The sequence below is a fragment of the Homo sapiens genome, chromosome 14, assembly GCF_000001405.40.
Source record: "Homo sapiens chromosome 14, GRCh38.p14 Primary Assembly".
Taxonomy (NCBI): domain Eukaryota; kingdom Metazoa; phylum Chordata; class Mammalia; order Primates; family Hominidae; genus Homo; species Homo sapiens.
The window spans coordinates 21,190,875-21,215,423 of NC_000014.9; the positions used below are offsets into that span (position 1 = coordinate 21,190,875).

Here is a 24,549-nt window from a genome sequence, read left to right on the forward strand (position 1 = left end):
AGCGAGTAAATAATATTAAAACAATTAAAGACCTAAACAAATGGAGGGTTATAACATTTTCATATATTGGAAGAATCAGAATTCTAAAGATTTATTCCATTTTGCTTATACAATCCCACTTAAAATCCCAGAGGCTTGTTTTTTAAAATTGCCAGCTGATTATTATATGGCAGATAAAACTGTCCCCCAAGCCCCAATTCTTTCTCCAGCCAAAGAACTGGAAAATGGGTGGCCTAGTAGGAGAGAAAATCTTTTGACAGCATTTACAGTACTCCAGCCAAACTTCATGGCAAAAACTGCAGTCAGAGCTGAATGAGGAGCCTATACTTCCACCTTACCTAGCAATAATGAAGCACCATTCTGCCTTCCTGCAGTGTCTCCAGAAGCGGAGCTGGGTGTCTAGATTTCCACCCCTGCCTGGCAGCAACAGTGCCCCCCTCCCTATACCGGTGGTAGCAGTGGAGGCTGAATCGGGTGTCTACATTTCTACCCCTACCCAGCAAAAATGAGGCACCTTTCCTCATGTCAGCAGAGGCTCAGGGAGAAGCATGGACTTCCACCTCCACCCAGTGGTAACAAGATGGTGTCCAGGCCCCGCATGGTGGCTCATTCCTGTAATCCCAGCACTTTGGAAGGCTGAGGTGGGTGGATCACCTGAGGTCAGGATTTCAAGACCAGTCTGGCCAACATGGTGAAACCCATCTCTACTAAAACTTCAAAAATTAGCCAGGTGTGGTGGTGGGCATCTGTAATCCCAGCTACTCGCAAGGCTGAGGCAGGAGAATCTCTTGAACCAGGGAGGCGGAGGTTTCAGTGAAGCAAGATCGTGCCACTGCACCCCAGCCTGTGCAACTCTGCCTCAAAAAAAAAAAAAAAAAAAAACCAAGATGGTGTCCCCTTCCTTCCTCCACTAGCAAGGTGTCAGTGGAGGCCTGCTAAAATATAAAATTTCAGTAAGATCCAGAAAATCATAAAATAATACCAGTATGTCCAAGATACAATAAAAAAAATCACTTGTCATACCAAGAACCCAGAAAAACCTCCATTTGAATGAGGCAATGATGGCAGCGGCTGCTCCAGATGGTCTGCCACTACCATCACACCAGCTGCAGCAGGGAGGCACCTGGGGCTGCATGCTTAGTGGAGCCGGAGGGAACAAGCGGGAGCCCTGCCCCTTCTGAACTGGGGCAGGACGTCCCTGGGCGCCGCTGCGGCTACCCAAACGGTGGCTGCAGACCGGGCCTCCCACTTCATGGAGGAAACAGGAGCCCCGCCCTCTTGGGCGGAGCTGCAGCTGCACAAGTTGTGGCTGCAGATCCGAGCCTCCCTGCGCTCTTTCGGGGCTGGGAGCAGGCAGGATCCCTGTCCTCCAGGGCACAGCTGCAGCCACCAAAACTGCAGCTGCAGACCTGGGCCTCCCACTCAGAAGAGCAGGCAGGAGTCCTGTCCCCCCTCCCCCAACCCCACACGCAGCTGCCGCCACCCAAACCCTGGCTGGAGACTCAGACATCCCTGCACTCTTGGGGACCCGGGAATGCCCCCCTGCCCTCGTAGGCTTGAAAGCGCCTGCTCTCACTGCCTGGCTTCTCCCTGCTGTTCCCCCTTCCCATCTCAGAGCAAAGTCTGGGAGGATACCATAAATGACAGCAGGAGGCAGACAGATTCCTGGGTGGAAGAGGGTAGGTCCCTGGTGAGACCCCACCTTCAGGCCAAGGAGGACTGGGGGCTGGGCTAACAGTCCCATGGAGTAGGAACTTGTGGTGCCTTTTCCCAGTCACCCATGGCTGCCCATGGACCAATAGTGCACACTTCCTCCCCTCTGAGGGCTTTTATGAACCCATTAAAGCCCTGGATTCAGCCAGAGCTGAGCAGACGACAGGACAACCAGCTGCAGAGAGGAGCTACCCACTCCAAGTCCTCCTCTCTACTGAGAGCTGGGAAGAGGACTGGAAGACCTGCTTGCAGAAAAGAGAAACCCACTTTAGTGCCTCCTCTCTACTAGGAGCTGAACACTCTTGGGACACCCTGGCTGCAGACCCCGCTGTGGGTCTCCAGTAAGTTGTCTATTGCTCAATAAAGCTCCTCTTCATCTTGCTCACCCTCCACTTGTCTGCATACCTCATTCTTCCTGGTCACAGGACAAGAACTCGGGACCCACCGAATGGTGGAGCTAAAAAAGCTATAACACAAACAGGGCTGAAACATGCCCCTTGCTTGCCATGTTGCAGGTGAAGAGGAGAGAAGAGCTGTGACTCCTCAGGGAGCCCAGACCTAGGAGCTCCCCAAGCCAGGACTGTGACTCCCTCTTTGGGGTCCTGCAGTGCCTGGCGTCTCCAGGCTTCCAGACACCACTGCATTTCCTGGTGCTAGCCAGGGAAGCTGCTTGCAGTGCGCCTGGTCCAGCCACAGCCTCGCAGAGAGCCAGGGCCCTTGCCAGCACCCGGAGCTGCTGGCCCCACTGCAGCAGCTAGCATGTCTGACTGCAGCAGTGGCTGGACCCCATGCTTGCTCACACACCCCTCACCACTCCATGCCTGACTCACCCTTGGCAGATGTGGGATCCATGCTGGTAGTGTGAGCTGAGTGCAGCCTGCAAATCCAAGTGGGCAGAATGAGCCCAGCAGGCCTGAGCAAAACTCAGGCAAAGGCACCACTGGCCAGAGGTTTCAGGCCAGAAAATTGACACCCCAAGGATCTCGTAACAGCAACAGATGCCAACACCAAGATGACACAAATCTTATAATTATCTGACAAGGATTTTAATGTAGACATAATAAAATGCTTCAATGAGCAATTATAAATATGCATACAACAAATGAAAGATTAGAAAATCTACGCAAAGAAATAGAAGACATAAGAACCAAATGGAAATTTTAAAATTTGAAAACACAATAACTGAAATTGAAAACAAATTGGATGGCTAAAAATAGAATGGAGAGCTGCGGCTGGGAGCGGTGGCTCATGCCTGTAATCCCAGCACTTTGGGAAGCCGAGGCAGGCAGATCGCCTGAGCTCAGGAGTTTGAAACCAGCCTAGCCAACATGGTGAAATACTATGTCTATTAAAAATACAAAAAATTAGCTGGGTGTGGTGGCGCACACCTGTAATCCCAGCTACTCTGGAGGCTGAGGCAGGAGAATCACTTGAACCTGGGAGGCGGAGGTTGCAGTGAGCCAAGATGATGCCACTGCACTCCAGCCTGGGGAACAGAGTGAGACTTGGTCTCAAAAAAAAAAAAAAAAAATAGAATGGAGATAACAGAAGAAAGGACCTGTAAATATAAAGACAGAACAGTAGAAATTACCCTACATGGACAACAGGAAGAAAAAAAAAAAAAGAACTGAGCCTTAGGTACCGTTGGAAAATAACAAAAGAGATCTAGCATTTGTGTGATCAGAGTCTTAGAAAAGAGAAAGAGAGTGGGGATGAACAAATTTCAAAAAAATAATGGCTGGATGTTCCCCAAATTTGGCAACAGACGTAAACGTAGATTCAAGAAGCTGAGGAAACTCTTGACAGATGAACCCAAAGAAATCCAGAACAAGGACATCATAATCACACTTTTGAAAACTAAGGACAAAGAAAACATCTTGAAATCAGCCAAAGGTGCATTACCTATAAGGGGACAAAATCCATTTATTTTTATTTTTATTTAATTTTATTATTTTTTAAATTCAAATACCAACTCGAAGCAGAGGGGAACAACAATTCAAATGTCATGAGAAATCATAGAGGCAAGAAGGAAGTGGCACACTTTTCAAGTGCTGAGAGAATAGTCAACCCAACATTTTATGTGCATAAAATATCCTTCAGGATGGAAATTCAGTTACACACATTTTCTCTTTCTCTCTTTCTTTTCTTTCTTTTTTTTCCTTTTTCTTTCTCCTTCCTTCCTTTCTTTCTGGTTTTCTTCTTTCCTTTCTTTTTCCTTCCTTCCTTCTTTTCTTTTTCTCTTTCTCCTTCCTTCCTTCTTCTCTTCTTTCTCTTTCTTCTTTCTTTCTCTTTCATGTTCTTTTCTTTTTTTTTTTTTTTTTTGCAGGGTCTCAATCTGTTGTCCAGGCTGGAGTGAAGTGGTGCAATCAGAGCTCACTGCAGCTTTGTCCTCCCAGGCTTAATTGATCCTCCCACTTCAGCCTCATGAGTACCTGGTACTACAGGCATGTGCCATCATATCCAGCTAATTTTGTACAGGGTCTCACCATGTTGCCCAGGCTGGTCTTGAACTCCTGGGCTCAAGCGATCTGCTCACCTCGGCTTCTCTAAGTGCTGGGATTACAAGTGTGAGCCACTGCATCTGGCCAAGACATTTTCAAATAAAGGAAAATTAAGAACTTTTGCCAGCCAATCTATCCTTTAAAATGGCCGAAGGAAGCTTTCGAAACAGATGGAAAATGATAAAAGAAGGAATCTTTAAATAGCAGTAATGAGAAAAGAACAATGGAAAGGGTAAAAACATGGTTAACAACAACAAAAAAATTATCTTCTTGGTTTTTAAAAAGATTACATTTGACGGCAGTATTACAGGTAGTCAGGCATGAGTGGCACAGGAGAGGACTGACTCTCCCTGCACCCATTAGAAATGTCTGGTGATGGTTCGGCAGTTACCACATTGCCTCTCTAAAAATGATAATGTGGCAGGGCCAGGGAGAGGCCATTTCCTGATGGTCCACACCTGTTAATTGAATGCAGGTTCCAGGGAGAAGCAACTTCCTGGTCATGGATGTTAAGAGACAAAAATGGTGAAGTATGATTTTCTGGGGACGCACCACCAGAAAAAGGAAGAAAGCCTCAGATTGGGCATGCATATAACTCCCTAAACACACTGAACAGGCTCGGTTCCAAAGGGTAAGGAAAGCACTGGGCATGCGGAAAGCCCACCCTATGGGAAGAATCCTGGGAAAGAGGCAAACTTACGAAAGTCCTAGGATCATGGTTAAACGGCATTTGACCTTCTCTATTAAACTTCATGTGCCTGCTTTTTTTTTTTATTCCAAGCGCACCTTCCTTTCTTTCCTATTCTAAGGCCTTTTTAAATAAACTTCCATTCCTGCTCTGGAACTTGCCATGGACCCATACAGATAGGCTGCTGGTACCTTGGGGTAACTCAGATCTCTGCCACTGCTAACAGTAGAAGCAAAAATCATAAAATTATTTAATGAGGTTCTCTAATAGGTAGAGGAAATATTTAATACAATTGTATTATGAATGGGGAGGGTAAGGTATATAAATAAGGTAAATTTTCTACATTTCACTTGACATGGTAAAACAATAGTAGTATACTGTAATCCATTTTGTATGTATAAGGCAACACCTAGAGCAACCACTCAAAACAACTATAAAAAGAGATACCCTCAAAAACACTGTAAAATACTACCCACAGAGTGAAAATGCAATCCACAAAATGGGAAAAAATATTTGCAAGTCATATATCTCATAAAAAATTGCTATCCAGACTATATAAATAACTGCTACAATTCAACAACATTAAAACAAACAACCTGATTTTGAAATGGGCAAAGAACTTGAATTAACAAACATTGCACCAAAGAAGATATACAAATGGTCAATAAGCACATGAAAAGATGCTCAACATCATTAATAATTAGGTAAATGCAAATCAAAGCCACATTGAGATACCACTTCACACTCATTAGGATGCTATTATAAAACAAACAGTGCCGGACATGGTGGCTCACGCCTCTAATCCTAGCACTTTGGGAGGCCGAGGTGGGCAGATGACCTGAGGTCAGGAGTTCAAGACCAACCTGGGCAATGTAGGGAGACCCCATCTCTTAAAAAGAAAGAGAAAAGAAAAAAAAAAAAAAAAAAGGCTGGGCACGGTGGCTCATGCCTGTAATCCCAGCACTTTGGGAGGCTGAGGTGGGTGGATCACCTGAGGTCAGGAGTTCGAGACCAGCCTGGCCAACATGGTGAAACCCCATCTCTACTAAAAATACAAAAATTTGCTGGGCATGGTGGCGGGTGCCTGTAATCCCAGCTACTTGGGAGGCTGAGGCAGGTGAATCGCTTGAGCCCAGGAATCGAAGATTGCAGTGAGCCGAGATCATGCCACTGTACTCCAGTAAAAAGAGTGGTAGAAGAAACAGTAAAACCAGTAAAAGGGTTCAGTAAGGTTGCGGGATACAAGATCAACATATAAAAATGAATTATATTTCTTTTCTTTTTTTTTTTGAGACAGGTTCTTGCTTTGTTGCTCAGGCTGAAGTGCAGTTGTATGATCTCAGCTCACTACAACTTCTGCAACCCAAACTCAAAGGAGACTTTCACCTCAGCCTCCCAAGTAGATGGAACTGCAGGCATGTGCCACCACATCTGGCTAATTTTTGTATTCTTTGTAGAGACGGAGTTTCACAATGTTGCTCAGGCTGGTCTCAATGAATTATATTTCTATAGACCAGTAATAAACATGGAGAAGATGAAATTAAAACACAATATCATTTGCAATCATTAAAAAAATACTTAAATACTTAGGTGTAAATCTCACAAAACCTGTACAGGATCTGTATGCTCAAAACTACAAACCAATGATAAAATAAATCAAAGATCAAAATAAATGGAAGGACATACCATGTTCATGGATTGGAGGACTAAGCATGGCAAACATGTTCAATTCTCCCAAATTAATATACAGATCTAACATATTTCCTATTATAATGAAACCATCATTGCGAAATTATAACTAAGACAGTGAAAGAGATCTGACCTAACCTCCATCTTGCTTCTAACCTCTAAGCTGCTCTTGTTCATTCCTGACAGTAGGCCAAACTAAGTTTGGGAGGAACTTAATGTACAGTCTATAGTTTGAAACAAACATAATAACAGCCCTTTCCCAAAACAAACCCCCTTCTTGCCTGAGGACTAGACTGCCTTTGTAGGACCAACAAATTAGCCAAAAGATCAGAAATTATGGTTTAGGATTCACGCAGCTAGAGGCTACAAGATTCTGACCCTTCCCAAGTTGATCCAGTGGATAACAACACTATTATAAAACCTAAGATAAGTACTTGAAATATTTTGCAAATCCTGTACTCAGTGAATCAACTGATACCACCCAGATCAATAAACTGGCTCATTTGGTTTTGTGGCCCCTACCCAGGAACTGACTCAGCACAAGAGGATGGATAGCTTTGACTCCCTATTATTTCATCTCTGGCCAATCAGAACTCCCTGTCTGAACTCAGACTCACTTTCTCCCTACCCACCAAATTATCCTTAAAAACTTCAATCCCCAAATTCTCAGGGAGACTGATGAGTAATAAAACTCCAGTGTGAATTACTCTTTCTCTATTGCAATTCCCATCTTGATAAATCGGCTCCGTCTAGGCAGCGGGCAAGATGAACCTGTGGGGCTGTTTACAACCTAGTCAATATTTTTAGAAATAGACAAGCTTATTCTAAAATTCATATGGAGGCCAGGCACGGTGGCTCACGCCTGTAATCACCACACTTTGGGAGGCCGACGCGGGTGGATCACGAAGTCAGGAGAGCGAGCATCCTGGCAAACACAGTGAAACCCCGTCTCTACTAAAAATACACACACACACACACAAAAAGCCGGGCGTGGTGGCGGGCACCTGTGGTCCCAGCTACTTGGGAGGCTGAGGCAGGAGAATGGTGTGAATCCAGGAGGCAGAGCTTGCAGTGAGCCGAGACTGTGCCACTGCACTCCAGCCTGGGCGATGGAGTGAGACTCCGCCTCAAAAAAAATAAAATAAAATAGGCCAGTTGTGGTGGCTCACGCCTGTAATCCCAGCACTTTGGGAGGCTGAGGTGGGTGGATCACCTGGGGTCAGGAGTTCAAGACCAGCCTGGCCAACATGGTGAAACCCAGTCTCTACTTAAAATACAAAAATTAGCCGGGCATGGTGGCAGGTGCCTGTAATCCCAGCTACTTGGGAGGCTGAGGCAAGAGAATTGCTTGAACCCAAGAGGCGGAGGTTGCAGTGAGCCGAGATCGTGCCATTGCACTCCAGCCTGGGGGACAAGAGTGAGATTTTGTCTGAAGAAAGAAGAAAGAAAGGAAGGAAGGAAGGAAAACTGGACTTCATAAAAATTAAAAACTTTTGCTCTGCAAAAGGCTCTGTTAAGATGAAAAGATGAGTTATAGACTGGGAGAAAATATTTGCAAATCACATGGCAAAGGACTTTAATCTAGAATATATGAAGAATTCTCAAAACACAATGGTTAAAAACAATCCAATTATAAAATGGGCAAGAGGCATGCAGATACATTTCACCAAAGATGACATATGGATGGCAAATAAGCACATGAAAACATGTTAAACATCATTAGCCATTAGGGAAATGCAAACAAATGAAAACCAGTATCAATACATCTCTGATAGAACAGTGAAAATAAAAACTAGTGCTAATCCTATATCCTGGCAAAAATGCAGAGGAACTGCATCTCTTATTGTTGGTAGGAATGTAAAGTGAGATAGCAACTCTGGGAAATAGTTTGGCAGTTTCTTATAAAACTAAACATATACTTACCATATTATCCACCATCACACTCCAGGACAATTATCCCAGAGAAATGGAAACTTATATGCACAAAAACTTATACACAAATGTTCATAGCAGCTTTATTTTTAATAGCCCAAAACTAGAAACAACCCAATGTCCTACAATAGATGAGTGAGCAGTCAGACAAACTGGTACATCCACAGCAATCTGTTAAAAAACGAAAAACTATCGGTACATATAATAAAACTTGGATGGAATTCAAGAGCATCATACTGTGGAGGGGAAACCCATTCTCAAAAAGTTAACATATGCTATGTTTGTATCACATATATTATGCCATTCATAACTTCTTGAAATGACAAAATTACAGTGAAGATTAGTGATTTCCAGGGGTTAGGGAAGGTGGTGAAAGGATGGGTGATAAGGTGTGACAATAAGTGGGTAGTACAAGGGTTCCTTTGTGGCAACGGAACAATTCTGTATATTATGGTGGTGGTTAAAGTGCACAACTACACACATACACACACACACACACGAACTGGTGAAATCTGAATAAGACCTGGAGTTTAGTTAATAGTAATGTGCCAGTCAGTGTTGGTTTCTTAGTTTTGACAAAGTTACCATGTTAACATTAAGATATTAACATAAGGGGGAAACTGGATGAAGGGTATATAAGGAACTCTGTACTGTCTTTGTAACTTTTCTGTAAATCTAACATTCCAACATAAAAACATTTATTTTATAAAAGCAAAGAAAAAATGCTAATATGACACTATTACACATCAACCAGAATAGATGAAATTACAGTGAAAATAGCAGGTAGGTAACATGAGGCAATACTCTTATTTTCCAGTAATTTCCTTTTTAAGCTTTATACCCAGCAGAAATACATATGTTCAACAAGACAATTCTAGAATGTTCATAGCAGCTTTATTCATAATAGCCAAAACTGGAAACAGCCCAAATGCATAGTAACAGAATGAGTAATTTATACAATTCAATACTGTATACAACAGTATGAATGAACGAACTACAACATGCAACAATACAGATGAGTTGTATAGACATACTGTTGAGTCAAAGAAGCCAGACACAAGAGTGCATATTATTTCATTTATTTGAAGTTGAAAAACAGGCAAAATAAATCTATGCTGTTGAATTAATAGACCATCCTTGGGATAGTGGTATAGTAACTGGAAGAGAACATGCATGGGGCTTCTGGAGTACTGGTGATGTTCCAACTCTTAATTTCATACTAGTTTTTGCATGTATTCACGGTGTGAAAAATCACACCTGTACACAATTTGTGTGATTTTCTGTATGTAAATTATACTTCAATAAAAAATTTACCAAAAAGCAAACAAACAGCAAGTGAGATATCACTACACACGTATTAAAAAGCCTAAAATTAAAAGAGAAATCAATCAATACCAAGTGCCAGCAAGGATGTGGAGCAACAGAAATGTTCATTTACAGATAGTGAGAATATAAATTAGTATAATCACTTCAGAAAAATGGTTGGCAGCCTCTATATCTAAAGGTGAATATGCACATATTCTATGAACCAGTAATTCCACCCCATTACATACCCATCACAAATGTACACATGCGTGTTCTCAAAAGACATGTACAGGAATGTTCATAGTAGTATTATCCCAAACTGAAAATAATCCAAACGTCTTTCAGTGCTGTTGGAGCTTATTAAAGTCAATTACAGCTCAGAATTGCAGTGAAGTTAACTTCCTTGGGGGCATCCCTCAATCAATTGGAAACAGGAGCCAGCGGATAAATATTTCAGCCTCCTGTTCAGTCAGACAATTCTGGGAAGCATTATATATCCAACCTCCGTAATACCTTTCTATTGATTTTTCTTCTGTCTCTCTACCATCTTTCCCACTCCTGCATCCTGGAGCCAAACGCCAAATAAACTACTGCACTCAAGTTTTTTTTCTCTGAAGATCTGCTCTCAGGGAAGCCCAAACTTCCATGATTCCATTTATAGATGGCTTCAAAACAAGTAAAACCTATCTATGGTGATACAAGTCAGAAGAGTGGCTAGGATAACCAGTGGTGGTAATGATGGCAGAGAGATTTCTGGAGTGCTGGTTATGTTCCACATCCTGATCAGAGTGGTGTTTCAACTGGCATGTTTACTTTGTAAATCTTCATCAAGCTGTATGCTTAAGATGTGTCCATTTTATAGTATATAAGTGTTTTAACTTTAAAAATTAAGGAATGTAGGTGTTAAGTGGTACAAGAGATTCCCACTAAGAAAAAAGTGGGCTTTGTAAGGGAAACTGAACTTAAAGGTATTGAAAAACAGATGAACAGCCGGGCACAGTGGCTCACGCCTGTAATCCCAGCACTTTGGAAGGCCAAGGCGGGCGGATCACAAGGTCACGAGTTCATGACCAGCCTGACCAACATGGTGAAACACCGTCTCTACTAAAAATAACAACAACAAAAAAGCCGGGCGAGGTAGCAGGCGCCTGTAATCCCAGCTACTCAGGAGGCTGAGGCAGAATTACTTGAACCTGGGAGGCGGAGGTTGCAGTAAGCCAAGACCATGCCACTGGACTCCAGCCTGGGCAACAGAGCAAGACTCAAAAAAAAATGGACACACCCAACTTTTTGGATAATGCCCCTCTCTCATCCTTGGCATGAGATTACTGATTACGAATTACTGAGGGATTTGTTGGAGACTGACACTAGGAGAGGAATGTGAACTATTACAGTGAAAGCTGGACTAGTAAAACTTACCCATAAGAATGCACCCATTTGAGACAGGCACAAGACATTACAACGCTCCTCTAGGTGTGTGTTGAATAGTTAGTTCTTCAGCTTTGCTTTGCATTTCTGCTGTTTGCAAGACTGCCTCACAGAGGGTCAATCCTTCCCTTTTTCCTCTCCCTTTTCTATTTATTCATTCAACATATATTTGTCTAGACACTGTGCTAACCACTAGGAATATATTAATCACAAGTAATAGATGTGGTCCCTGCTCTTGAGTTTCATTCTAATTTTTTAAAAAACCCACATTAATAATCACACGTATCAATGAGTATGACTGTAGTGCTACGAAGAAGAGATTCCTGGTTTTGACAGCCTATCGGCCTGGTTAAGAAAGAAAGGGTAGGCTTTCTGGAGGAAGTGACACAAGTTGAAATCGAAGGATGAAGAGAAGTTAACTAGGGAACCAAATAGGTGGGGAGCATGACTAGTAAGAGGAACAAAGTCCAATGTGGTTGGAACAGAGAAAATAAGGGGACATATAGCAGAGGCTGGACAGATCAGCAAGGGTCAGGCTATCTCTGGCCTTGTGGACTGTGTTAAAAAGTTTTGTCATTATCCTAAGGGCAAGTAATGCCAGAAATGGTTTTAAGTTGAGAAGTGCCCTGATTATATGTGTGTTTTGAAAAAAACCCAATATGGCTGTTGTATGAACAAGTGATTGGAAAGAGATAAAAGTGGATGAAGGGTAGACAGGAGGATACTGCAGTAAGCCAGGAGCAAGGTGATGGAAGCTTGGATTGGCATGGTAGCTGTCAAGATGGAGAGAAGTAAAACTATTCAAAAGATATTTAGAAGGCACATGGGCACTAACAGTAGCTATAAAATATGTTCCATCTTTATTTCTAAACAGAACAAATAGACTAATGCATTTACATCCGATTCAGGAGTATGCACGTTCTTAACCTTGGCTATTAGTCTTGAGTAGCACATTTCTTCCTAGGGAAAAAGTTATGTGACCAGATTGTACCTTAATTGTGGGTGGGATATTCAGAAGCTGCTAAGTATGAATGTGCTCAAGAAGAGAACTGAGAATTGCCTTCAAGTTGCAAAAGAGAGGGGGACAAGGCTATGGAACCACCAATGAAGTATTAACACCCAAAAGGCATTTAAAGAAAGAGAAAATAGACAAGTGTACAAACAGAAGGGCAAGCAAGAGGCTGCTATCTGTGTGGGACAAGTTTAAATAGGACTATTCAGATAAACCAAAGCTAGGACAATGCTTCTCAAGACCTACAGAGATTTCTGGAAAATGAGCCATCAAGACATTTGAATGAAGACTACAGACTCCTCAGGAAGTGAGAAGCTCTTGAGGAAAGATGTCCTTACACATTCAGGTGAGTGCTTAAAACAAAGCAGCATATACTTCACTGAGGAGTACTGCCATATTTCTGATCCCCATGCTGGGGGAGTTGGTGAGGGAACAGTAGGGCCATTATGTTGCAGGGGCAATTGTATTCCCAGGTGAGAGGGGATAAAAGAGCAAACACTAAGGCTGTCTCCAGAGGTGCTTGGCTAACAGTGAGAAGATAAAGCTGCTTTGATTTCCCCTGGGGAACTAGATTCTACCAAGGGCTACTCCTGCTGCTCAAGGCAAAGAGCTGGGTCACCACTCAAAGGAAAAATACTGAGGGTCAGTCCAGGATGGGGACAATGGCAGGGCAGATCACAGCATTTCCAGCACGTATGAAAACAACTGTTTAGGCTGCTTTCATACTGCTGTATAAAACCCCCCCAAGACTGGGTAATTTATAAAGGATCTTGTTTGACAGTTCTGCGTGGCTGGGGAGGCCTCAGGAAACTTAAAATCATGGCAGAAAGTGAAGCAGGCACGTTTTACGTGGCAGCAGGCGAGACAGGGTTTGTGTAGGACGCAAAGGGGGAAGAGCCCCTCATAAAGCCATCAGATCTCATGAGAACTCTCACAAGAACAGCATGGGGGAAACTGCCCCCATGATCCAGTCACCTCCCACCGAGTCCCTCCCTCAACCTGGGGACGGGGATTATGAGGATTACAATTACAGATGAGATTTGGGTGGAGAAACAGCCAAACCATACCAACAATTTTGTCAACCAGACCCCAGTGGCACCTGGGACCTTGGGACTGACCAAGCTGGTGCTACAGAAGCTTTTATGGAGAGTGGATATAAAGTTCTGGGGGAAAGCTAAGTTTGGGGGGATGAGTAAACTAAAGTAACGAGAATAATATTGTAGATCTGGGCAAAGTTGGGCTGGCAGCTAGCTCTAGCTGGTTATTTAGCAGACTACCCTGTGGTTTGAGGTAATTTCCCCCAGGAGGGCCAATGGGGACTTTGAAGTATTTATGCCTCTTTAAAAACTTAAGTATCCTTAAAACAGGGAGGGACAATAAATGCAGCAGACACCAAGACATTATGGTCCATAGAAAGGTTAAGCCTGGATGGAAACTAGTAAAGTTGTTAACCAACGACCACACTAGAAATGGAGTCTGAGTCATTGAACTTGACGGGTGGATTCTTGGATCAAGAATTTTGGGGAGGGAAGGCTATGTCCCAAATTCACTGCAACTTCATTATTGTGGCTTGTGAGGGTCTGCAAAAGTGACTGAATCTTTGTCACTGGACCTCTTTCACATTAATGTCCCTGTGGGAAAGACCAAGTCTTTCTTTAGAACTCGTGCAATGTCACTGCCAGGTGCTTGTAATAGTCCATGGCAGGCATCAAGAGTAGAAACTTGGCTAGACACAGTGGCTCACACCTGTAATACCAGCACTTTGGAAGGCTGAGGTGGCCAGAGATCAAGACCAGCCTGACCAACACGCGAAACCCCATCTCTACAAAAAACACAAAAAAATTAGCCAGGTGTGGTGTCGAGTGCTACTCACGAGGCTGAGGCAGGAGAACCACTTGAACCTGAGAGCAGGGGTTGCAGTGAGTTGAGACTGCACTCCAGCCTGGGTGTGAGAGTGAGACTCTTGTCTCCAAAGAGTAGAAACTGTGGTTTTCCCAAGATATTTGGAAAAGTTTGTCTTCTGGGCCAGAAGAAATGGTTTAAAATACACGTTGTGGGTGGGAGAAGCTGTATTTTCTCTATATTCCTGCTTCACTTCTAAAGCCTAACAAAGTTGCATGAAATGGCAGACTTTCAGCTGTTAGCCAGGCACTGCTCAATATGCTCTTGAAACTATTCAATCTATGAAACGACTCTAGCCCTCATTAATAGAATGAAGAGAAAAATGGTATGGGGATATTTTTCCCCTTTTGTTAACTTAGAGAAGTTGCTAGGATCCTAGTCTCTTACCTCTATTTAGGAAATAGTTTATTCAATTTCTAGGACTACAGACTACAGTTCAAAGACACCATTTCCTCTGCCAAGGTCCAAAGCCCATGGAGTTAAGTCAGAACATAGATCAAATTTTTGGCTCTACCATTTGAATAACCATAGGGCTTTGAACAAGGCAATCTCTCTGAAGCTCCTTGAAGCACAGAAATTATTTGCATACGTACGTAATAGAACTGTTGTTTGAGAAACAACAGTCTATGTCAATTAAACGCTGGCCTAACAGGCTGCACACAAAGCCTATAAAACATACTCTCTTCCCTGGGCATGAAGCAACTGATTGACAAGATGGGTTCCTATTTAACAATAGTTTATTCTGTAAGAGGCACTGCTATATGAAGGTGTGAGCAACATGGATTAAGCCTGCAATATCGTCCCATTGAAGACGCCCTCACTAGGGAAATCTTCAATATTAAAGCCTAAGGTCTAGGAAAGAAAACATCAATGAACTCAGGACACACAAAATATTGGAGTCACATTTGTTCATGTACGTTTGAGTTAGTAACCACTAGCAGTACTTGTGTGGAAACTTCTCAATATTCTACAGCACTTAACTATCCAATAAAGTAGTCTCACGTCACACGTCTCTAAATAAAAATTTAAATCTAACTCTTCACACTAGCCACATCTCAAGGCTCAGTAAAGTCACCAGTTGTTATACTGGTCAATGCATCATAAAACACTTCCATCGCCACGAAGTGTTACTGACAGTACTATAGCTTTAACAGCTCACTGTAACATGCGTTGATAACAAGGAATTTTCCCCCTCCCTAACCACCAGATGACTCTTTGGGTGCCTTCTTTACTCTGGGGCCTAGACTTTAATGAGGGTACACCTTGGCCCTTTTAGCTGCCTTCAGTTCTTTGATGAAAACATACCACTCACACATCCTCTTACTGCACTTAATTCTGACATATACAGTCATCCCTCTACTAAACTTATTGGCCAGCCACCCAGCCACCGTTTCTTGAAACCCGTGTCCTTTCCTAATCCTCACCCCTCTTTATCACACAGGGTTTTTTGTTTTGTTTTGCCTTTGGTGAGTAGTTCACAATTTGGGCCAAAAATTGGAATTATGGCAACTTAAAAAACAACGAAGAGTCCCAACCCCAGAGATTTAGTAGGCCTGGAGCACACACCTGGACATCAGAATTTAAAAGCCCATCCCCCTGCTCCCAGGAAATTTTAATGCACATTGACAGTTGAAACCTATTAAACTCCACAAATTTGGTAATGTAATAATCCAAAAGCCACAATTTTCCTAGACTTCTGAAAGTCTTGTAGGAGTTATTTTTGCAAATGCAAATTTGTCAGAGCTTCAGAGCCATGTTTCTCCAAACTTTTATTTCTGAGTGCCACTTGAAAAAAACAATCCAAACATGCTTTCCTCTTCCTATCTGCATTTATCTTGGGTTCTAACTCCTTCCTACTAATCCCTTTGTCATTTGCATTCACCCCCTTACACTGTTCTCCCCTTCCTCTTACTATGCTTTGTAGTTCTACTCACAAAGGGCGTTAACTCCAATGAAGAAGCCCTGCTTTTCAAAATTGAGATTTAACTTGAAAGTTACTAATGCAAACACAAATTCTGCAGTTTTCTACTTTATTTACTTCCTGTCTCCTAACACTTGGAAAGCTTTTGTCTGGTCAGGTATGTCTACGTTCTTTTACTCTGCAGTTCAACTGGCTACATTTTTACTTTATACCAAGTTCTCTCCAAACACTAGAATTCTCCAACAGAGTGCTCCTTCTTAGTGTGAATGAGGTACTCAGACCATAATCCACATATTATATGTAACTCATTTACTGGTCAATCATTTCTACATCATATGTTTACTACTGTCGACTGGTTTTCTGGTCAGGGTACTTTTTCTTGGATGCTTCTAAATTCCTATGAAATGCATTTTTTTGGTCAATGTGATGTGAACTAGGGTCCAGAAACTGAAACTCCATTTGACATCAGTGTAGCTGAATTCCCCTAATAAATAAAAAGGTCAACTGTCAGTAGGAATAAGTATGTTTTCTGGTTTTCCCCTGAAATAAAATTGGTCAGTCAATGCTGACAGGCCAGGCATATGTTCCTGAGCTGATCACATTAAATATACACAATTTCTCTATCCTGCGACTACTTTCAAAAGCACATTGTTTCATCAAGGTTATCTCAAAACACTAGTACTTGCATATAGTGTATCATCTGCTCTACTTCTGTACTTTCTATATTATACACTGGGTTTTGCTTCCCCTAACACTTGAATAAAACATACTGCCAAGTTATAGTAGATTCGTATGTTCACACTTCATGGTTATCTTATGGTTTAAATGATGGTTACGTCTATTGTACTATTACATTCTTCCCAATCCTAATTTGACACCTGTTCATTTCCTTCCAATTTACCACCTTTTTGTTCCCATTTACATTATTTTCCTTTTCTATTACACCCGGTTCCCTCTGAAAAAGAGGATTTAAACCACGTAAGTAATAGGTACTAATCACACAATCTTTGCATGTTGGGGTAATATTAACATCAGAAGTGAAATACAAGAGGAGCCCTCCTTTTGAGAATCCCAAATTTAGCATCCATTCCCACCTGACAGCTTCCAGTTAGCTCATCCCACTGAGACAGCAGCAATTTATTAATTACCCTAGAAGAAGTTTCCCAATTATACGTTATGCAGCACCAGAAAAAAATGTTACTAAGGATTTTTTATCTACCTCCTCTCCTGCTTTCTAACCCTGAAATGAAAACTGCATTCTTGAATGATTGCAGGACATTTTCTTAGATTTCATGGCATATTGAGAAACTTGTGTTCTGAATTTTATCCCAAATTAAAATGTTTTTACTTTTAAATCTTACTTCCACTACTGCAGTGTAATCAGACTATCAATCTGAAATCCCTCAATTATTAAATCAGAAATCACTCAATTATTACCGTCAGATCTAACCCCTTTACCTGCACTGCCATGCCTACTATTCTGAATTTCTATTGAGCCAACTCAATTCTTACTTTGCAGGGCCCAGGGTTAAGTAATGTCACACTGACTATAAGCATATCATCTGATAAATGGCCTTTAAAAACACTAGCCCCTTTCCCAAAAAGCCTGTACTTATCTGCATTAGATCAGATTTTTAAAAGCCTTTTACCATGTGGTATTTCAATCCTGGTCTCTTTACTTTGCTACAGTTTTGGCCTAGGAACCTAAATGTCAAAGTACTCAATGAGTACACCTGTGATTATAGAAAACCTAGAGTACTGTTGTCTTAAACACGAGGAAATTTAAGCCACAGTAGCGTAGCCTAAAACCAAGAGCGTGAAATGACTTCCCCATCAACACAAACTAGACATGTCAGTATTCCAACAACCCTACCATATGTGTGTATAGATTTTCAATCTGTGATCATGCTCTACGGCTATTTGCAAAAGTAACTGCAGCTAATTAAAAGTAATGGCAAAAGCCACAATTACTTTTGCACCAACCTAATATTAAAAAGCGCTCTCCACAGCTTCATTCAATACCTGCTTTCCTAGAATAAAATGTATAGTTGGCCCCCCATGTTCATGGGTTCTGCACATGCAGATTCAGCCAACTACAGATCGAAAATACTAGCAAAGAAAAAAAACTAAAAAAAGTTAACAAAAATATAAATAAAAAAAGTTACAACTATTTACATACCATTTACATTTTATCAGGTATTTTAATGTAGAGATGATTTAAAATATACAGGAGAATATGCATAGGTTACATATAAATACTATGCCATTTTATGTAAGGGACTTGAACATCTGCAGATTGTGGTGTTCACAGCTAAACAGACTGCTCTGTGCAGGGAGAGGCCCTACAGTGAAGGGAAAAGTAGACACTTGATTGTGGACTAATTTGTTCAGTATTTCCCAAAAACTTACAGCTAACAATAATATTAAACAGGTTTTATTAGCATCTTATACATCTGACACTCTCTCCTAAGCATCCAGTTTATTTTCTAGTCACGGGTTACTTACTAAAAGTCTGTGTAACATGAGCTCACATCAGATTAGAAAACATCAAGTGGGTAGTATTTTTGACTGAATTAACATACAAAAGAAATTGCCTATATCATGTATATGGGCTCCAAGGGTAGTTCATACTTCAGCCTCTTCATTCTTTTCTGCTTTTGTCACCTGTTACAGAAAATGATCTATAAAATCCTCATAAATAAGACATGAGTTTTGCCTGTAATGAGTAGGATGAAAAAAGGCCAGTGCCGCATGCTATGAAACAATAGCAACTTTACAGGGGAATCCAAGGTTTGTGTGCACAAAAATTATAAGCGGCATTTTCTGCTATGCTGGAAAAACTGAAGTATAAAACACAAATGAACTAAGCCTTTCAAGGATGAGGTATCACCAACACTGGTAGCTGTTTAATATATTCATCTTACAACTGGATGCTAAAAATGCAATCACTGTAATTAATAAAGTTGAGGAAAACACAAAGATTAGCTAACAGGGGTAAAAGATCATTTAGAGTAAAATAAATGTGTAACATTCTCTATGTTCTCAATCACCTGGGAAGGCAGTCTATGGAATATCAGGAAGTAAGAGTTTTCTTGTTTTCAGGAACATGGAGGTATATACACTTCAGAATTCAGAAGGTAACTGGGGCTATAAATAGTAATTAAAAGAACAAAATAGAAGCAGGGGGGTTCCATTATGCAGCTGTCGCCATTTTCCTGAAATCTTGATGTTTTTGAGCCTCTCCTATTTAAGGACAAAACCATTTAGCACAAAACACAAACCTCAGAAAGGGTGCCAGCTGGACCACAAAGCACTGATGAAAAGGCAGAGAGGATATACTTCCCAAACTTTCATTAGGATGTAAAAGCCATTTTGAAAAAGTCTCCACTCTATGTCAAGTTGACTCCTCAATGCAACATGCATCTCAATGAAATATAATTTGAGTAGTGTTGTGTTGGTATGCATCATGATTATGACTCCAAGAAAAATATATCTAGTGCATTCTAGAGGTTTTGTGGAGGACGCTGTAAAACAAAGTTTGAAGTAAACAATAATAAAATACAAAAATAAAAAACCAGGGTTTTTTTTTTCTCCAAATTCCTGGTTTAATAAGGACTTGTTTATTTTGAGGAAAAAAGGTCCCAAACATCAGGCTGTTCACAAAAATAACCCACAGTATCAACTTTAGAAAACAAATCTTAAGACTATAACACTAATTATTTTTCTAGAGGATGCATTTGACATGCCAACTCTCATTCACAAAAATACATTGTTACATTTGTGTTGAACTGCCCCACACAGCACACTAATGTGAGGGTGTAACACACATACTTCTAACTCAAAGCTGCTTTCAAGAGCTACTCAACTAAATGAGATTGCCTTTGCAGTTAGGGAAGCAACTACTGAACTTATGTATGAATGAAAAGAACTGTACTCCCTGCATAACAAGAGATTATTTTGGAGACAGTTGATAAAAACCATACATCCTTTTTATTGTTAAGTCATAAAGAGGTATCAAAATTAAAAGCAAAAATTACAGGGTAAGACTTAACAAAACTACTAGGAGCGTCAAAGGAAGTGAAAATGGGACTAGGCGCGGGGCAATATGAATTAATGAACATGGGAAGGACAAGGATGGGGAGAACAGTGAGCATGTGCTGAAGATACTAGGGGAGAGGATCTGGTGAAAAATTTGATCTTAGACAAGCGCCTAGGTAAAGAAATAATGGGATAAGATTTCTAAACCCCACTATGTGCTTAAGAGTCATCCTCGCCATTGGCGCTGTCTCTGTCATCCTCTCCTTCCTCAGCCTCTTTTTCATCATCCTTGATCAACTCCAGCTGTGAGAAACAGACACAAACAGGATGGAGTTAGAGGCACTCCATGTGTCCCTGAGCCCCCCTCCACCACCTTTTTCTTTCCTTTCCCGTGGTTTTCACCTGGTCATCCCCCCGATCTTCATTATCATCATCATCCAGTAGGTCCCCCTCCTCAGCAGAGTCATCTGCACCCCCCTCAGACTCCATCTTCACATTAGTCTCATCTTTCTTCACGGAGCTGCTGCTCTGCTCCTCTTCTGACTTATCATTCTTCATCTCTACTGCGGATGAGAAGGACAAGTCTGTCTAGGGGCAGTAATGTCCACAGGACGTAGACAATCCCCACTAAGGATCACAGAACTGCAGCACAAATCTAAATCCTCCCACACAAATACCCTTCCCAATTCACACTCCCCAAGTTTCATATTACATTGCTTTATATTCCACTATTCCAACATGTACTTTCAAGTGCCTTATGTAACTAACCCAACTGTATACCAAGGGCAAGCAGAAAACCCATTTACCTGCTTGTTTGCTCTGTTCCTTTTCAATTTTTTCCAGGTTTTCCAGGAGAGAATCCACTTTTTGTTTTATCTGGGTCAGCTCCTTCTTAATGGCCTGAAGGTCATCTCCTTTCACTTTAATATAAACAAAATACTAGATTAAAATCAAATGTACCGAAGATATGAGTTAGCAAATACACTGCCACCAGACTACATCAGGAGCTCACAGGAGATACCCAGGGAGAAACAGAGCCAGTACAGATTTCTCGGTAATAAAGGCCCTTGGTTCTATTATAAAGCACGTTCTGTAATGGTTTTTATTGTTTTTAATGTCTTTTAGATCAGGGCTGTCGCTATGTTGACCAGGCCTGAGGACAGTGACTATTCACACGTATGATCACAGTGAACTTAAACTCCTGGCCTCATGAAATCCTCCCACTACAGCCTAGATCCCCAGGGTCTTAGCCTCCCCCTAAGCATCTGGGGCTACAGGCACGCACCACTGCATCAGACCTTCTGTAATGTTTTACTGCCTTCCATATTTCCAGTTACAGGAGGAGTTCAATATAGAAAAGTTAAAAAAAATCAACATACTGAACACTGTCTGAATTTTAGTTTTTAAATAACACAAAAAAATCTCAGGAACTTAACGCACACCTCAACTACATAAAGTCAAATGACATTTTTTAAATTACCTAGCTGTTGCAGTCTAGAATTGGCCACTCAATCACAATCTTGTCTCCTCTGTTATTTTGGATTTTTTTTTTTTTCTTGAGATGGAGTTTTGCTCGTCACCCAGGCTGGAGTGCAATGGCATGATCTCGGCTCACTGCAACCTCCGCCTCCTGGGTAAAAGCGATTCTCCTGCCTCAGCCTCCCAATTAGCTGGGATTACATGCACGCACCACCATCCCCGGCAAATTTTTTGTATTTTCGGTAGAGATGGGGTTCCTCCATGTTGGACAGGCTGGTCTTGAACTCCTGACCTCAGCTGATCCACCCGCTGGGCCTCCCAAAGTGCTGGGATTACAGGCATGAGCCACCACACACCCAGCCTCTTCCATTATTTTGAATACACAAAGTCATGTGGCACAAAAATATTGTAACTGCATTAGCTTCCCTATCTCAAAACACAAGAGATACCAAAATCACAAAATGAAATAATACATACACTTTCCAGACTTGGAAGATCCCCGCTGTCCACTCTTAGAATTGAAGCCACTTTTGCCCCTTCGTGAAGTGTTTCCTGATACACGCTGACGTTTCGAGGGCACTACAGCCCGAGCAATAGGAGGAGGAGGAGGTACACGTGCTGGGTAACTGTACATCCTATTGGATAAGAGGAAAATGGAATTCATTCAAACCTAACATTAACTCAGCACAATTCAACAGACCTTATGATAAATAGTAAGTGAATATTGTCTCTAGTCGTTTCCTTTTATTAAATTTCATTAAGAAGGCCAGCAAAAACCTCCACAGTGGGGTTTAGAAATCTTATCCCATTATTTCTTTACCTAGGCACATAAAATAGTTGTAATACTGTAGCAACTTTTCCTCAGGAAAATAAAACATATATCAAATTATATGGTTGGCTGGCCTTTGGCACTGGATATAAATGATTCCTCTGTACTAGTGTCAGTATTAACAGGGCATTTATTATAATGAATAGCCTTTGGATCTTATTATTTTCAAATATACATTACAATAAACAATTCACATACGGTCAAATACTCTTTAAAATGTTCCAATTAAAAGGGTATATAAACAGTGGTATATGGCATTAGCGAAATCTCTGATTCTTTTCACCCACAGAAGCACACGAATTATTACAACTAGTGATATAAGGTTGAACCATATAAAATTTCAGATCTATAAAATCAGGGCAATTTCATGTAACTGAGGGAATCATAGCAAAATGTGTTGGCTGGGTATAAATACTACTGATAAAAAATACCTCATATAAAAACAGGTAGTATCATTTCTAACTAAATTTACGCTTAATTCCAACAGGGCAGAGACCACTGTCTATCTTGTTCACTACTCACCTATGTCTAAATTCACTGGCCAGTACACACTTAGCACTCAATAAACACTGGTTGCTCAACTAATTGCTGTTTCTATTAGAAATCTTAATTTCAAATGTCTTAAACTTAGTATCCCAGTGATTGATAAAGATACACCAAAGCAGTGGCTTGGTACACTTACATTTGTAAAGAGAAAATTCAAAACAGAACAAAATACTTCTTACATGGACATCAGTTCTAAACTTTCTACATTCCACATTGTCATTTCCATATAAGAACCTATGGCAACGTATGAAAAGGTCTTCAATTCTGCAAGCTTTTTAAAAATGCAACTAACTTAATGCAAAGGCCCAGGTACTCTATAAAAATACACCTACCAACTGTTCTAACTCCAAATATTTCTTAAAAAACAAATGTGATAGTCAAGAACTTTAAAAATATTATTAATCACCTTTGTCATGATTCTCCCTCTTATATATATACAATAGTGGCAAGTTATTCTGAGTTGTAATATCTCCAATCTTCCTGTAGTGAAAACATTTACAAGATCTCATTGCTAATTCTCTCCTCTGTTAACTTAAAAGTGTTTCCACACTATTTCAACAAAGCAATGTTTAATCTTGTCCCAGGAGTGGCTATGGACAGGAACATTTTCCTAAATTAAAAGAGCAAGGAAAGCTGAGATGGAAAGACAGGTTGAGCCCAGGAGGTGAGAGAACCATGACTGCACCACTGCACTCATGCGGAACAGAGCAACACTGTCTCAAAAAAAAAGAAAACAGAAAAAAGTTTGCATTTCCCCTAAGTATGGTTAATCTCTTAGTTTAATCCATTCATGGGAATTAATGCAAAGAAAAAGATACTGAGTAACTTTTTATTATCACTACTTTCCCATTTTGACATAAAGCTTTTGGTCTTTTTGACCAAAATCTTGCAAAGTATAATGATACAGAAACTATAAAATATCAGTGTTCAGAAACTCATATCCTTTGTGAGAGATGGTAACACTTGCACAAACACAAATTGCTTAACGACAATTTCTGGAGGTGAATCAAAATAAGTTATCCATATCCATGAGCATTAAACTGAGCTTAAGCCTCAGTCCAATGGAAATAAATATCTAATCTACCTCCTAAGCCACAAACCTTCACCGGCACCCGTATCTAAACCAATGAGCTAGCTAGCTAGTTCTGTACTATCACTGGAATTTCTTTTTAAAACCTACTATTTCGTCTGACCACAGCCAAAATAAAGCAAGTAATACAGTTTTGTTTTGAATCTATGTAACAGTCTCATGAACACAATTAGGAGTCAAATTCTCTACTTTTCTGAAGAAAAATATTTCAAAATATTTCAGCCAGTTAAGGCTTTTAGTTACACAGAATGCTGCTCAGGCAGAAATGGACTCTCATTCACATCTGAGGAAGTAGTCCTTGCCTCGAAAAATGTTGAGGACGGTAAGTGTGAAAATAGAAAAAAAACATACATAGTGTGACAACCTTTAAGTTAAAAGGGATATATATTAAGAAGCTCAGTATGACTACTTCAAGCACCAGCTAAAAATTAAGCGGAAATTCTCACTATGAGAAAGCTATACAATAGATGAGGCAA

General features: G+C 41.0%; 1 protein-coding gene and 1 long non-coding RNA gene across 20 annotated transcripts in view, besides 1 other annotated feature; both read right to left on the reverse strand.

Annotated features, from left to right (window-relative positions):
- Window positions 1,955-2,455: an enhancer, noted in NCBI's record as "H3K4me1 hESC enhancer chr14:21660988-21661488 (GRCh37/hg19 assembly coordinates)". NCBI's record gives its function as "activates a minimal SCP1, AML or CMV promoter by ChIP-STARR-seq in naive H9 embryonic stem cells {active_cell/tissue: H9 hESC(naive)}" and the evidence as "EXISTENCE:reporter gene assay evidence [ECO:0000049][PMID:30033119]".
- On the reverse strand, window positions 9,205-16,026 carry LINC00641 (long intergenic non-protein coding RNA 641). Of its 2 annotated transcripts, NR_038971.1 has the most exons (2): window positions 15,737-16,026; window positions 9,205-11,059 (listed from the first exon to the last, which is right to left on the reverse strand). It is a non-coding gene; the product is annotated as a long intergenic non-protein coding RNA 641 (long non-coding RNA). The 2 variants fall into 2 exon arrangements; NR_038970.1 differs by lacking the exon at window positions 15,737-16,026 and having other exon boundaries at window positions 9,205-14,629.
- HNRNPC (heterogeneous nuclear ribonucleoprotein C) overlaps window positions 18,273-24,549 on the reverse strand; it is a 60,296-nt gene continuing 54,019 nt past the window's right edge. For all 18 annotated transcript variants that reach the window (NM_001077443.2, NM_001077442.2, NM_004500.4 and 15 more), the window contains 4 exons: window positions 22,086-22,243; window positions 20,936-21,049; window positions 20,532-20,692; window positions 18,273-20,432 (listed from right to left, as the gene is read on the reverse strand). In NM_001077443.2, the coding sequence (NP_001070911.1) occupies window positions 20,349-20,432; window positions 20,532-20,692; window positions 20,936-21,049; window positions 22,086-22,243 (517 nt within the window). In that variant the 3' untranslated portion in view covers window positions 18,273-20,348. The remainder of the gene's footprint in view (window positions 20,433-20,531; window positions 20,693-20,935; window positions 21,050-22,085; window positions 22,244-24,549) is intronic.